The following is a 15,904-nucleotide window of genomic DNA, read 5'->3' on the forward strand; positions in this document are numbered from 1 at the left end:
TGAGGAAGAGCACTGTCACCAAAAAACAACCCTGCAAGACATTTAATCTTGGACTTCTAGCTTCTAGAACTATCAGTTGAGCCACCCAATTTATGGCATTTTTATTATGGCAGCCTGAGCAAATTAATACAGATTTTAACATCAGAAGTGGGGTGCCACCGTAACAAATACCTGAAAATATATGCAGAAGTGGCTTTGGACCTGGGTGATGGGGAAAGGCTAGAAGAGTTTTGAGGTACATGCTAGCTTCAACCTAGATTGCCTTGAAGGGACTTTTGGTAGAAATATGAAAGTTAAAGGCAATTCTGGTATGGGCTCAGAAAGAAAAGACAAGAGGTACAGAGAAAGCCTCTATCATCTTATGGGATATGTATATCATCATCAACAGACTATTAGAAACATGGATGTTAAAGGCCATTCTGGTAAGGTCTTAGATGAAAATGAAGAGCAGGTTATTGAAAACTAGAAGAAATGTGATCCTTGTTATAAGGTGGCGAAGAACTTGGCTGAATTGTATTCTAATGTTTTGTGGAAGACAAAACTTGCCAGCAACAAAATTAAATATTTAGCTGAGGACATTTCCAAGCAAAGTGTTGAAGGAGGAGCTTGGATTTTCCTTATCACTTATAGTAAAATGTGAGAGGAGAAAGAAAAATTGAAGGAATTGTTAAGCAAAAAATGAACCAGAATTTGAAGATTTGGAAAATTCTCAGCTTATCTATATTGAAAAAAAAAAAAAGGAGAAAGCTTGTTCTGAAGAGAACACTAGAAGTGTGACTAAACAATTGTTTAATAAGAGATTAGTATGGGTGTAAACCTTGAATTCAATCAGCCACCTCAGCAAACCCAGGAATAGAGATGGGATTATACCAGCAGAAACTCTGCCAGCTGGACTAAAAGATTAAAGAGGATGGAAAAAATGGTAGGAGATGAAAGAAACTGTCAGACTTCTGGGATTCTACAGGACTGGACAATAGAGCTATCTGGCCAAGAATATGCTTTATTCTTCAAGAAAAGGAAAGAATGACCCCAAAGGCAATTCAGAGATCATCAGGGCTGATACTTCCAGCATAGGCCCAGTGGGGCCTCTTCAGTTTTGGGGGACCAGGTTGCCACTGCCAAGAGCCTCAGAGGCAAGGCCATGGTCTGGTGCTATGAGGGTGAGGCTGCCCCCATGGAGCTAAAGGGTACCCTATAATTATGTTGGGTGATGCTGTTGCCCCAGTGGACCTGGAGGGCTGAGCATTGAATCAAAGGCTGTTCTTGAGCCTTAACATCTAATGAAATTTACCTTGCTAGGTTGTCGACTTACTTGGGAGTCATCACCCCTTTCTTCTTTCTGATTTCTTCCTTTTGGGGTCTCTTCCTTTGGGAAGAGAAAGCACCTCTTTCTTTCTGTGCCTGTTCCACCATTGTATTATGGAAGCACATAATTCATCTGGCTTCACAGGATCAGAACTGGATAGAAATTTTGACTCAGGATGAATCGTACCTTGAGTCTCACTCATATCTGATCTAGATGAAGTTTAGATGAGACTTTGGACTAGACTTTGGACTATTTCACAATCAATGGGTTAAGACTTTTAGGGCTGCTGGGATAGAATGAATGTATTTTGCATGTGAGAAGGACATGAATTTGGGTGGGGCCAGAGAGCAAATTTTGTGAACTGAATGCTTCCGTCCCTCCCAAATTCATATGTTGAAGCCATAACCCCCAGTGTGGCTGTATTTGGAGATGAGACCTTTAAGGAAGTAATCAAGGTTAAATGAAATCTTAAGGGTGGAGTCCTGATCCAATAGGATTAGGGTTCTTATAAGATATACCAGAGAGCAGCACCCTTGCACATGCACACACACAAACAAATCCACCCCAACGAAAGGCCAGGTGAGGACATAGTGAGACAGAAGCCATCTCCAGGCCAGGAAGAGAGCCCTGATCAGAAACTGAGTCAGCCACAACCTTAATCTTGCACTTCCAGCCTCCAGAACTGTAAGAACATAAATCTCTATTGTTTAGGCCTCCCAGTTTATGGTATTTTGTTATAGCAGCCGGAGCTGACTGAGACACACACCGTTCCCATCAGTACTAATCCTGCACAAGCCTCCACACTCAGACTCTGCTACCCCTGCAGAGAGGGAAAGGGACAGTTTAGAAACAGAGCTGGAGCTGAGACACACGTAGTCGCTCCCAAGCAGAGGGCTGGGACTCGGCAGCCAAATAAAGACCAGACCACTTCTCTCGTTTGCTTCACTTTCCAGTCTAGTGTGGGTCAAGGAGCTCTCAAGGTGGAACCAGGATAAAGAAGCGTAACTACCTTTTTGTTCCAATCTGGTTTCAAGGAAACCTTTAAAAAGACTGTGGATTTGGAAGAGTGGCAACAAAAATGTGCCCTATTCTTATGTTTTAGGGGCTTCACAGTAAATGTCCCTGATGAACTAAGTACATGGTAGTTACAAGAGAGATGCCTTCAGTCATTATGCTAAGTGATTAGGGTGAACATCACACGAGAGAAATGCCCAGGATTCCCTCTTAATCCCTCTAAGTACCTCACCTCTTGCTTTCCTGGCAGTTTGCACTTCTGGAGTAGTGCTTCTCACACTTGCCTCTCTGTGTAGTCTGCAGGCTCTGAGAAAGTGTGCCCTACTCACCTTCAGTGCTATCCCCCTGACACCAGCATGGGGGATTCACATGGGGGAGAGGCTCAGTAAATGTTACTAAATTATATTTGTCTGATTAGTGGAAATAAGAGATATCACTAGAGCAGGATAGAACTTGTTCATCAAAAGAAGAGGCAAGAAAAGCCAAATCTCCCTAAGAGTATTTCAGTGGTCCCAGACCCTTTCCTATGTGACAAGAAAGTGATGTTTAGGTGGCATTTTTCTCAAAAAATGCAGGGTCTCCTCTACTGTCAACATTGAGGGTCTTGTGGGATGGGTAGGGACTTTGAGCCATTGCTTTTTCCCTCTTCTTCATTGCTCTCATGCAGTTGTTATTGTTGCTGCTGGCATTTCAAAAATCATCACTTATTCTTGAAAATGCCTTCCTGTGGGACAGCAAAATATGTAGCAGAGAGAGCCTTGGACTAAAAGTTAAGTGGATTAGGTCTTAATCCCACTACTTTCCCAAACTCTCCGTGTGAACTTGGGCAGATCTTTAGGTGCCCTTTTTCCCAGCTTCCTCTTTAAGGGTGGCATGGTGTAAGGAGAGTGGATTTGGGGGTAGAACGAACATGAGTTTAAATGCCAGACTTTCCTGTTATAAGTTATGTGGCCCTGGGCAAGTGACTTCACTCTCTTAGCCTCAATTTCTTCATTTCTACATGAGGATAACACATGTCCTACTGTATAGTGTTGATAAGAGCTTTAAATATGTTCGTGTATGCCAAACACTTCACAGAACACCTGGCACAAAGCAGGCATCCAAATATGCTATTTGCTTCACTCTTCCATAAAATGGGGCTTAATCCTCTGCTCTTCATACAGTTGTTTAAAGGATCAAATGAGATTGTAGGTAATAAAGATCCCTGAAAACTGCAAAGTACTATACACTTGTAAAGTAGTCACATGGGATTAAGAGAAACAGAACATGAATGACTAGCTCCTCTTGGATTATGCTCCAATATCCAAAGAAAATTGCCCAATATTTTCAAAGTATTTTTAAAACAATGTTAAAGAAGGAAACCAACATGAATTGCTTTATGATAGAAGCCATGGTGGGGGTTGGGGAAAGGAGGAAATGAAACTTCAAGTGTGGTAGGATATGGGCTGATGATAGAAGTGGCTCTGATTCATACCTATGTCCTGGTCCATCAGCAAAGTTTCATTCAAGCCCAAACTAAAAGTATCAGAAGAAAAAGACTAGTCCAATTACCATTTTGGTCTGTTTTTGGTGTTTCATGCTCACTGGAAAATCTGAAGATGGGTAATGGCAAAGTGTCTTTGTCGTGCCTCGTGCTGAGTGTGCCTGGCATATCAGAACACCTTGGCCATCCTCTGTTCGTAGGACAGCACTTTCCAGAATGGTGCATGGAATGCTATTCCACACAATGTTACAGGGCTCTGCAGTCCAGGAAGTTCAGGAAAATCTTTATTCTATTCTCGGACAGTCACAGGTCATATTCATAAAGTAAAAGTCCTGAGAAGTCCTATAGACAGGTATATTTGTATAACCCAGACTTTCCCAAACTAATTAGACTGTAAGACTTTCCCCCTTCCTTCAATCTGCAAAGTCATATCAGTTAGAACAATATTCTCTAGAAACAAAAATACAAGAAAAGTTTTGTCTGCCCACCAGGGACCCTGTTCTGCTGTGCTGGGACCACGTCCTTACGCAGCAGAGCATGGTTGGAAGGAAACATCATCAGCTCCAGGACCTTTGCTAGATAATTGTGCTTATTCCTCCATCAGTGTGGTGAATGTGGGATGCCTCTTTGAGGAGCAGAGATCATAAATGCCCTTTCAGTGTAACAAATATTCACCACCATGAGCCCCTGCAGAGGGTCTTGGGCAAAGGAGCCCTATATAACCTCATGCAGTACCAGAGCACATTCCTTTCCTGGGTTTAGACACCATGATTCCCCATAACAATGGGAAGGTAAGGAGAGGGAGGAAACAAAGGTACTTCCCTCATTCCAGAATGAAACAACAAATGCATCAAAAATCAATTCAAAAAACTTGTTCTCCCTCCCCTTCTCAAAACCCTTGATTTCCGATCAAAACAGTTGGTAAGCTTGCCATTGAGAGAAATCTGGCATCTTCGAGGTTGTTACACAGTTTTCTGAATTCACTCTCTAAACATGGTTCTAGCTTAAAGAGCAAAAGCTTAAATTGAGCAGGAAAAAGTCACACAGGATAACCGGGCACATGTTTTACATCCTCTTTTCCCAGCACCCTGCAGGGGCATGCGCACACACACATGCACACACACACACACACACACACACACTTATTCTTCTATTTATTTTCCTCCACTATTCATATTCATTGGCATCATCCTTTCCTCCCAGTGATGATCTACTCCATTGTCTTTTTGCCGCATAATTCAGTTCAAGACAATTGTTTCTTATCCACTGTGTGCCAGGCACTGAGCTTAGAGTCATCCGTTCTCAGAGTCATCTTGGAGCAGAGTCATCTTGGATACCGCCCCCTTCTGCACAGTGTCTAACTGATCACAAACTCCTATCAATGCTGCTGCTCTGATCACAAACCCCTATCAATTCTGCCTCTGAAATTTCACCCAAATATTACCAGATCTCTTTCCTTACTGCCCTCTCCTTATTTCTCACCCAGAAAATTGCAGCAGCCGGTTGTGTCTCCTTGCCTTCAGCATTTATCCATTTCCAAACTATTTCAGACATAAATCTGATTATGAATTCATAATGCAAAGATCTTCGATGGCTCTGCATTTTCCACAGAAAATAATCCCAACTTTAGACAGTGGTCTAAGGGGTCCTTCAGAGTCTAGCCCCCAGTTACCTATAAAATTCCAAGTTTCCAGGACTCCTGCCTTCTTCTTTTCCCCTTTCATACCTCCCCTAATAGTAATGCCGGGTCTAATTCATCACTGTAACATCAGTACACAACCAGGACTGGTACATTCAGGTACTCACCAAATCTATGTCCAGTGATATGTGGCACAGATAGACGGATGGATAAATGGAAAAGATGTTTCCTATTTCAGCAGCAATAGGGAAGCAAGTGTATGCTTTCCTATTGCTGCTGAAAGAAATTACCACAAACTACGTGGTTTCAAACAATACAAAGTTATGATATTATAGTTCTGGAAGTCAGACATCCAAAATGAGGCAGCCGGGCTGTGTTGCTTCTGAAGGCTCCAGGGAAGAATCTGTTTGTCTTTTCCAGCTTCTAGAGGCTGCCTGCATTCGTTGGCTTATGGTGCCCTCCATCTTTAAATGCATCACTCCAATCTCTGCTTCCATAGTCTCATATCCTTCCTCTCTCTGCATCTCTGACTTTGACACTCCTGCATCTCTCTTATAAGGACTCTTGTGATTGCATCATTGGGCCTTCCAAGATAATCCAAGATGCTCTCCCTATCTCTTGATCATTCATCATATCTCCAAAGTCCCTCTTGCCATTATTCACAATTATGTGGAGCCATTTTTCAGCCTTCCACAGTGAACAAGTACATTTTTTAAGAGAGTTTATGATGGGTGTCGCATAAACTGCCAGGGGAAATCATAAACAGGTGAGCCTGAAGTCTGCCTAGAAAGGCAAAGAAAAGCATTACAGATGGAATGGTTCTTAAACTGTGTTTGAAGAACACACAGGTGTTCTAACTGGACAAAGGGAAGCAGCCTATCCAACTGGAGGACACAGCATAACCAAAAGTAAAGAGGCCTGGGGATGGGGGCAGCAGGTGGGCATGACTGAAGCACAAGGTTCAAATATTGGAGGTGGAGGGCAGGACCTTACATGCCAAGCTGATGAATTTAGAGTTTAATCTGGAGTCTGCATGGAATCATCAGCAAAGCAATCAGGGATATGACATACTATATTCTAGAACAGCATCATCCATTAGAAGTTCCTAGAATGAATGAAATATTCCCTGTCTGCACTATTCACTTAGCCACATGGGCTACTGAGGACTCAATATGTAGCTAGGGTAACTAAGAAACTGAATTTTAAATTTTATTTAATTTTAATAAATTTAAACTTAAATAGATGAAGGCAGCTAGTGGCTACTGTACTGGATAATGCTATTCCAGAAATATCATCTGGAGAGTGAATTGAAGGTAATTTGGAGGTGCGGGAGACTGAAGGCAGGATTCCAGAGAGCATGTACCCAGGTGAAAAGTGATCACAACCTGAACCGAAACAGGAGCAGTTGAAATCATGTTTGGTGGAGACATTAAAGGGAAATGTCAAATGTAGGATTAGGGGGATTTGGTTGATTGGATCTAGGCATAGTCAAGACATGGATGCATCTCTGTTTCTCATTTGGGTGGCCGAATGATGCTATTTACCAAGCAAAAGGGACAGAGTTAAAGGTAAGATGAATATCTTAATCTGTTAACAAACCTAATTTTTAGATACCTATTAGTAAAGACATTCCAAAATACCTATGTGTAGAGCCCACGAGAGGGAGATCTGGAATGACGAACTGGGTTTGGAAACTATCAGTGACAGGTGATGGCTAAATCCCAGGGCATAGCTCATTTTGCCCAGGAGGAGTAAAGAGCATAGAAAAGCCAAGGCCAAAAGACAGAACCACAAGAAGCACCCTCATTTAAAAAACAGCAAAGGCTGGGAAGCATAAATTAATGAGCTACAAGGAAAGATGGAAGAGAAGGGGTTGTGGGCTCCCAAAGAGGGAAGAGACTCCAAAGGAAATTGTCAATTTCCCTTAGGGAAGTCAAATGTGACAATGACTGACAAGCTGCCATGGGATGTGAAATGGCAGGATAGTTTCAATAGTGTTGGGGGTGTGGAGAGGGCAGTGGAAGCCAGAGGATTTATGGGTGATTGGAGGAAGAAAGTGGGGCACCATCACAGATCCTTTGTTTTAACTCTGGTCTCTGTGAGTTTGACGGTCAAGAGAGAAAGAGAAGCAGAGCAGGAAAGAAAGAGGAACGTGAGAGTAAAAGGACAGGTGAAACTTGCACCGATTTACAAGCTGCAGGAAAGAAGACCAAAGTGTCGGGGAAGCTACAAATGCAGGAGAAAGAGGGAAGGGACATAGAGGGGCTGACAGCTATCCAGACCAAGCAGTCTTGTCTTTAGCTTTCCATAAAATAAAAGAAAATAGAAAAACATATATCTAGATTCCATTTTTTAAATCCCCATTTAAAAAGTAATTGTATGTGCACAAATAGTACAGTCTGTTGTCAAATGTAAGCAATAGCACAGATATTTATCAGTATGCTTTCCCTACCAGGCCATTTTGGGAGTACACATTTAATTAAAGTATATCTTGTATTTCTATCAAAATCTCTGCCAGGGAATGACTGACGGAGCATTCAGAACCCCTGAGAATCAGCCCCTGGCCACTAGCTGAGCAGAGGCCAGAAGGGCCTTCTTTCCAGATGGCTTCAGAGGAGAGTTTATGCAGAGCAAAGCTACAAGAAGATAAGATAAGAACACTTTGCTCCCTCAGGTCCCCCATTGCTCCACCCCCTGCTCCCCCAAGACACATGCCAGTAAACCCTACTGTTGCATGAGAGTGGGACAGCACAGTTCCCACCTGGGCTCATCTTCCCTTTAACTCAGAGAAGGCCAGCTGGCTTAGAGTTGTCCCTTAGAAGAGGCCTCAGGGAAGGTCAGGGGAACCGAAAGGGAAAATGGGGGAGCAGGAGGGAGCAAGAAAGAGTAAGATGGAATTCCACAACCCAATGAGTTGTGGGAGGGAATGTCAAAGTAAACCAAAATTTATGTTACCCATTTTAGATTTTGGCCTTGGGAGTATCAAGGAAACATAGAGAGTTAGATAATGTACTATGGGAAGGGTGACTCTAGGCCAGCACCTTGCAAGCTCTTGGAGAAAGAGGAGGAGTAAGGGTGAAGGGGAGAAGAGGGGAGAGGGGAGAGAGAAGGTGGGAGGAGGTGGCATAGAAGTCCAATGCAACTGTGTTTTGCTATTCTCTCAATTTCTCACATCATCAGCCCACATTCCCAGTCAAGTGCCGGGGTTGAAAATCTGTTAAATGTTTATGTGACTCTCATGGAAGCTTTCCTTCTCTTTATTGGCACTCAAAATGGTGGCAGCCTGGCCCTGTTTATTCATTAATGCCTCTAAGTCAATACTGAAGAAGAAGTCAGAGGACTAGCAAATGGCAAAGCCAACAGCTCTTTCCTATGTCTCCAAGGAAGGGAGAATGTTCAAGACAGCCCATATTCCTTTCTGTCAGAAGCTAAAAATACAGAAGAAAAAAATAAACTTCCAACCAGTTGAGAAATTTTAAAGGTAACTTATCATTTTCAGATCAGGAAAGTATGGCCCAGAAATGCTAAATGAATTGTCCAAAGAAACAGGCTAGAGCCAAGATCCCCAGATCCATATTTAGTTCCCTTTCCACTGACTCAGAGGTTTTCAAACTGTTGCCTGGAGGTATTGTGGAGAAGCGGACAGCCAGGAGGAAGCCCAGTCAAATAGGCAGACTGCTTTCTTAACAGTCAACCATGGTAATTCCCTTTCATCTGACACACACATATACACACATACACACACACACTTACACACACATGCATGCACACAAACACACACATGGCTTTTGCATAATATTACATTTGAAGGAATTTTCTGTTACTAAAACTAAGTTTTAAAAAAACACCGTTGCCATACTTAACGTTTTATGTACAACAAGACCTCAGGCCTTACTCTATAAACTAATTGTCAAATACACAGCCTTGTTTTCAATATGAGTGTGATTTATGACTGATGAGGGACCTGAGTGAATAAAAAGAGTGAGAATTAATTCAGGAAGATACTATATGACAAGCGGACCATCACTAGGAAGTGTATGACAATAGTTGCATACACTTTTGCAAGCACTGAAATCACCCAAAGAGCTTGTTAAAACACAGATTGTTGGATCTCACACTAGAGTTTCTGTTTCAGAAAATGTGGGGTGGTGCCCCAAAATCTGCATTTCTAACAAGTCCCTAGAGGCTGCTGATGCTGCTGCTTCAGGGACCACCCTTTGAGAACCAATGGTACAGAGTGTAGACTGTTGAATAGGAGTTAGTTCTATCATGAGGTCTTCATGATGCTTCAAACTGAACTTTCAGTGTAAAACAAGAAGGACTCCTTTTAGAGGCAATATTATTCAACCAGTGAAAATAATACTTGGGAACTTCGTAAGACATGAAAAAGTATAAGATTGAATAAAAAATATGACTTCAGTGAGAAAATGTAATAGGAAGAAAAGTGAAATATGCTAATAATTTTCTCTGCTGTATAAAACAGACATTGACCTCTAGATTTTGTGCAGGTATGGTGGTTGGTGGTTGGGGCAGAAATAAATGTGTGTCCTAGTTACTCGTTCATATAAAAACCATTTATAAACATTGGAGTTTGGAGTAGAAATAAATCCCTATTTATATGTGCATGAGTATCATATGCACTCATTCTTTCCACAAATATTTACAAATTCCTGCTATATAACAGGCACTAGGGGGAAAGACACATGTTCATTGCCTTTAGTCTGGTGGAGGAAACAGGAAGTGAGATAAGAGCTAAGAGAAATGTATGGAAAATCCTACGAAGGGGGAACCATTTGGTTTGGTAGATATTGAGCTCTGTTTGGAATGGTGTATATTTGGGTTGTATGTGTCTGTAACTCATGAGGGAAACCTGGGCTGGAGATGTAGACTGGCCATCCCTATCTATTTATGGGTATAAATGATTTCTCCATGAAAACAGGTGTAGTGTGAGAAAAGGAATATTAGCATTTATGGGTCAGGTAGAAGAGGAGTAGCCAGCAGAGAAGAGTGGGAGGCTGACTGTGGACTAATAGAAATGTAAAGATAACGTATACAATTAAGGTCATATTAATATTTATGTTTTGAGCACCAATAACTTATTTACTTGAAATAATATGTCTTTAGTAATTTAGTCAATATGCCCTGTGAGAAAGAGCTAACATGCTAAATTACTCATAGCATGTCTTATACTTCCCGGTTAGAATCCAACCTCACTTGTATTTTCACATATCCTGGTGTCTTATGTAAGTAAACAAAAGATAATCCCTCACAGAAAGCTCTAAAACCCTAATTAATAATTTTCCTAATAGTTTTATTCTTAGGGCCATTAGCTTTCAGTCATTTAGTCTTGAAATGCCGTTGAAATTTACAAAGATAAAATGCTACTCTATAAGAGAAATGAACAAACCATCGATACTACAACATGGATTAATCTTAAATGCATTTGCTAAGTGAAAGAAGACAGACCTAAAAGGCAAATACCACATGATTTCATTTATGTGACATTGTGGAAAAGACAAAACTTATAGAAACAAAGAACAGATCAGTGACTTTCAGGGGTGAGGGGTGGAAATTTTAACTACAAAGCAACAGCACAAAGGACTGTTGAGAATGATAAAAGTGTTCTGTAGCTTAATAACAGTGATGCTTACATGATTCTATACATTTGTCAAAACTATAAAACTCTAAACCTCAAAGAGTAGATTTTACTATATGTAAATTTAAAAATAAATAAAAATCTTAAAATATCAATCTCTAATAGTTACTACTTCAAAGGATGCTATGGTTTGAATGTGTCCCCCAAAGTTCATGTGTTTGAAACACAATCCCAAATGCAACAGTGCTGAGAGGCGGGACCTTTAAGAGGTGATTAGGGTGTGAGGGCTCTACTCTCCTCTCTTGAATACATTAATGTTGTTATCTCCAGAGCAGGTTTTCTATAAGAGCAAATTCAGCTCTCTTTTTTTCCCTCTTGCACCGTCTTGTGCTCTTTCATCTTCTCCCATGGGATAACACAGCAAGGAGGCCCTTACCAGATGCAGCCCCTCAATGTTAAACTTCCCAGCCTCTAGAACCATGAGCCAAATAAACTTCTGTTGTGTATAAATTACCCAGTCTGTGGTATTCTGTTATAGCAATAGCAAAATGGACTAAGACAAAAGGATCTTATTTAAAATAAATCCAACTTGTCATTTTATGATCAAATCATCTACGCGCACACACACACTCATTCCTTCTTGTAGAAATTCCATACAAAGTTATTTATTTGCTAGTAATCTTACTCCAGGGGTGTTTAGTTGACTTTCCCGAGACAGAATAGAAGGTGGCTGTTCAACTCTTTTTCCTGAGGTGCCTCAAATTTCTACTTGTTCATTAAGAGAATTCTCCAGAGACAGATGTATTACAGCACTTTGAGAACTATATTCACACCCATTGCTGAAGAGTGAAAAGAGATAGCTCAAGGTTCCACTCTGTGAAACAATTTAGTGGCTAAATGTGTTACTTAGGAACTAAATCCAAGCAGGTACTTAAAAAGAAGCAATTGAACATAGTGACAAATACTTCCCAGAGTATATGGGTATTTAGACTTCTGCTTAAGTCTTCCATTCCTGCATCTGTGCACATATTACACTTCAAGTACACATCTCTTTATATACTCTATTACCTCATGGCCATTACTTGTGGGTGATGAATGCTAGTGTTCACAGAACAGCGTGCTGATGCATTTTTTCCTGCCATTGTATGTAACATGTTTTCTAATTCTTTTGCTCTATTCAGCATTTGACCCCAACGATGGGGGATTATGGTATTAACTCTCTACCCAGCACACATTCTTTACAGACTCTCACTAAATACTGTAAGCCTGCTGCAGAGAGGAATAAAAGTGAAAGCATACCGTCTGGTCTTAAGCTGAGCACACAGAGGGTCGTGATCCAATTGGAAGGGAAGCAGAATTTTTAAAAAGAAAGAGGTTTGACCAAATTTTAATCCATGTCATTTTCATTTCTCTTACCCTGTGGATTTGGGTGATTTTATTTACACTGTCAGCTTGAGCCTAGGGATTGGAAATCAGGCTTTTATGGAGATTATTAAAAGTACATACAGTACACTAAAGGTTGGGCTAACTCTGATATATGCTGCTAAAAATATGAATGTGAGTGCCCTGGTATTAGAAGCCACGGGCGTACATTTCATCCTCCTTAGAAGGTTATTCTTGGGAGCTGGCCCTGCTGCAATGGTAATGAGATGCAGGCTGTCAGGATATTTCTGATAGGTAGCAAATGACCAGAGATGGAGATGAATCAGCATTACTCAGATGAGAAGGTAGCTCTTTATACCATTAATTCCAATCCAAAGTAATTCCACCATCCTTCTCCCAAAAGAGAGGGCACTGTAAATGTGGGGGAGGGGAAGAGCAGAAAGCTAAAGCTCCAAGGATTTACTGATGGTTTGGACGGGCTGCAATGTCATCCAAGTTTCTAGGCTGAGTTTTGTTGAGTCTGAGCTTCTCAGATGCATCACCAGTAACTTTCAGTTAAGTAATGTCGTATAGGCTTAGTTAGGTTACAAAGATAACGCTCTACACCTCAGTCAGAATCTTTAAGATCTCAATAGATAAAAATGAAACGGTTTATCAGATCTCAAAATACTAGGAGCATTCACTCTTTAATGAGGTAGATTTAGGATCTCAAAGATGTGAAAGTACTATTTTACAAAGCAGTTGACTATGAGGGCCTTGTGTCCTTGCAAGGTTATATATTATGACCATCTAAATAGGCTTAAGCAGGTTTTAGGAGATGCATGGATAACAGCTCCATGATGGATCGCTGTGACAAAATGGGATATTTTAGGGACTTATTTCCAATTACTGGGGGCCAATGACATTCCCATGCCTACTTCATGGTCTCCTTAGGTGCCACTGATAGATCAAGAGTCACTGCTATGATGAAGCTTTGAAATGTGTCAAATACCTAGAAATGGAGAGGAAGGAAGATGGCAGGAAATTCCAAATCTTTATTTCACCTGGAGCTCTCAAGTCTCAAGACCAGGACAATAATGTTCAGTTTAAGGACTAAGGCTGGGTGCAGTGGCTTATACCTGTAATCCCAGCATTTTGGGAGGCCAAGGTGGTCAGATCACCTGAGGATAGGAGTTAGAGACCAGCCTGGCCAACACAGTGAAACCCCGACTCTACTAAAAATACAAAAATTAGCCAGGCATAGTGGCACATGCCTGTAATCCCAGCTACTAGGGAAGCTGAGGCATGAGAATCACTTGAGCCTGGGAGGTAGAGGTTACAGTGAGCCAAGATCACACCACCGCACTCCAGCTTAGGTGACAGAGTGAGACTTTGTCTCAAAAAAAAAAAAAAAAAAAAAAAGGACTGAGGTCTATATCTCTTTGTCACAGCCTAGACCACTCACATGTAAAAATGTGATACACCTGTCATACACCCAGGCCATGAAGAAGGGAACACAATGAAAGTTAGCCCTTCAGTGATTTGACTCTTCGAAGCCTTAGTTCTGAACCACTTGTCCTATCTTACTTATGTTTTATATCCTGACTTGTTTATCTTTTTGGCTTCAGAGCTAGGATTTATTTACCTTTTACAGCTTTACTCACTCACTCCCCCCTCAACCCTGCCAAAAACAAGCCACTCTCTGACGAGAATGTTTTCCTCTTAATCTCTGATCCTGACCCCTGCTCTGGCTATACCACCTTCAGGCACACTGAGTAAACATCCCACCTGGCCCAGCCTTCCCCATGGGCTTCACTACATCAGCATGCCCCTAGCCCCCGAGAATCGTTCGCTCACCAGGTGTACCCCAGCCCACAGGTATGATTTGTTTGAGGATACCAGTAAACTACCACCAGAAAGAAGTACAGCATGTCCTTTTCGTGTGATAGCACGCAAGTTTCTATGACTCTTGTCCTACTGCCCTAACCCTCCTTCATTACCATAACAGCATAAACATATACATTATGTTATTTTTTTTTCAAACCAGGTTTCACATGTTTTACTTACTGAATTTGTACAACAATTCTATGGATCAGAAATAATAAATATGAGTTATCTCTTCAGTACAACAGTACTAATGAAATAAAGACAAGTCAAGTGATTTGGCTTATATTACAGCCAGTAAATTATAGAGCTTAACTCACCTGGTCAGTGCTTAATCTACTATCCGTGTTCCCTTAGGCTGAGCACCTCTGAAGGATAGGGATCAAATCCATATGGCCACTCTGCATGGAAATTAATAAATAATGTTGATGGGATGATGAAGTTGATAATAATTATGAGAGTAATAAATATGTTTTTTATCTCCAATTGTAGAAATCAATTTCACTTTCCTGATTTTCATACCTATATGCCTTTGCACACACTTCTTCCTTTACTTAGGAAGCCTTCCATTTGCCCTGTTTGCCTAGAAAATCCCTCTTCATCCTTTAAAAGCTGATACATATGTTACCTCCTCTGCAAGGCCTTTACCTATCACTGCCCAGCCCCAGCTTCCAAACAGCTAGTTGTGTCATACGTTAATGGTGTCACACTTAGGAAATAATTATTTCATTACTTGTTTAGAAAAGTTTCTCTCCAGATTATGGACAAGGCCAGGAATAGTGTCTTATTCCTTTTTTCATTCTAAGATCTGCCATGGTGCATGACACATTATAGAAACTCAAAAAGTTTTTTTGAACCAAATGTGATGATGATGATGGTGATGGTGATGATGGGGTAGGGGGACAATTTCACTTCTTCCAAGAGAAAGAGCTTTCCCAGTTTTTAGAACCAGACTTTAGTTAGAACAGTATATTAGTCATGGAAATCAATGCAGGCCACTATCAAATACAACTTCCAAAGTATTATACTTCGATACAAGGCTATTTCTTACTCATGAAGATATGGTGTGGGTTAGATAAGACACCTTCACTGGGTGCCCCTCCTCCAAGTGACAGCTCTGAAATCCAGGATCCTTCCATTATGTGGCTTTCCCATCTTGGCATCCTTTGCCTCCAGCTGTTCAGATGGGAGAAAATACAGAGAAGACACACCAAGTTTAAAACGCTTGTTCTACAAGTGACAGTCATTGCTTCTTCTCACATTCCATTGGCCCATCTAACTGCAGGGTCACCTGGAAGATGTAACCTTCCTACGTGCCCAAGGAGAGACTCAAAAATGGTGAATACTGAAAGTCTCTTGCCATAGGTTGCCCTTCTGAACACCAAATGTTCATTTCACTCTTCCTCTCACAGAACACACTCACCCCATGCCAAGGGGTACACCCTAAGTCCCATTTAGTCACCACCTCCAGATCAATGTCCAGGATATCTGGGTGAGGCACCATCTTTCGTATTCATCAGTCTGACATGGCACCTCTCAGTGCAGTTACCTACATATGTAAAAGATTAGTTATCCATATTCCACATCTCCACCATCATAAACCATGTATAATGGTGGAAA

The 15,904-nt window shown here is 41.2% G+C and overlaps 1 long non-coding RNA gene across 1 annotated transcript in view; it reads right to left on the minus strand.

Moving 5' to 3' along the window:
• PROX1-AS1 (PROX1 antisense RNA 1) overlaps positions 1 to 15,904 on the minus strand; it is a 166,513-nt gene that overhangs the window by 60,418 nt on the left and 90,191 nt on the right. Inside the window, exons 3-4 of the long non-coding RNA NR_037850.2 lie at positions 15,336 to 15,460; positions 14,605 to 14,685 (exon numbers count right to left, since the gene is read on the minus strand). This is a non-coding gene — a long non-coding RNA (PROX1 antisense RNA 1). The remainder of the gene's footprint in view (positions 1 to 14,604; positions 14,686 to 15,335; positions 15,461 to 15,904) is intronic.

Source organism: Homo sapiens, chromosome 1 (genome assembly GCF_000001405.40).
Source record: "Homo sapiens chromosome 1, GRCh38.p14 Primary Assembly".
Classification (NCBI taxonomy): domain Eukaryota; kingdom Metazoa; phylum Chordata; class Mammalia; order Primates; family Hominidae; genus Homo; species Homo sapiens.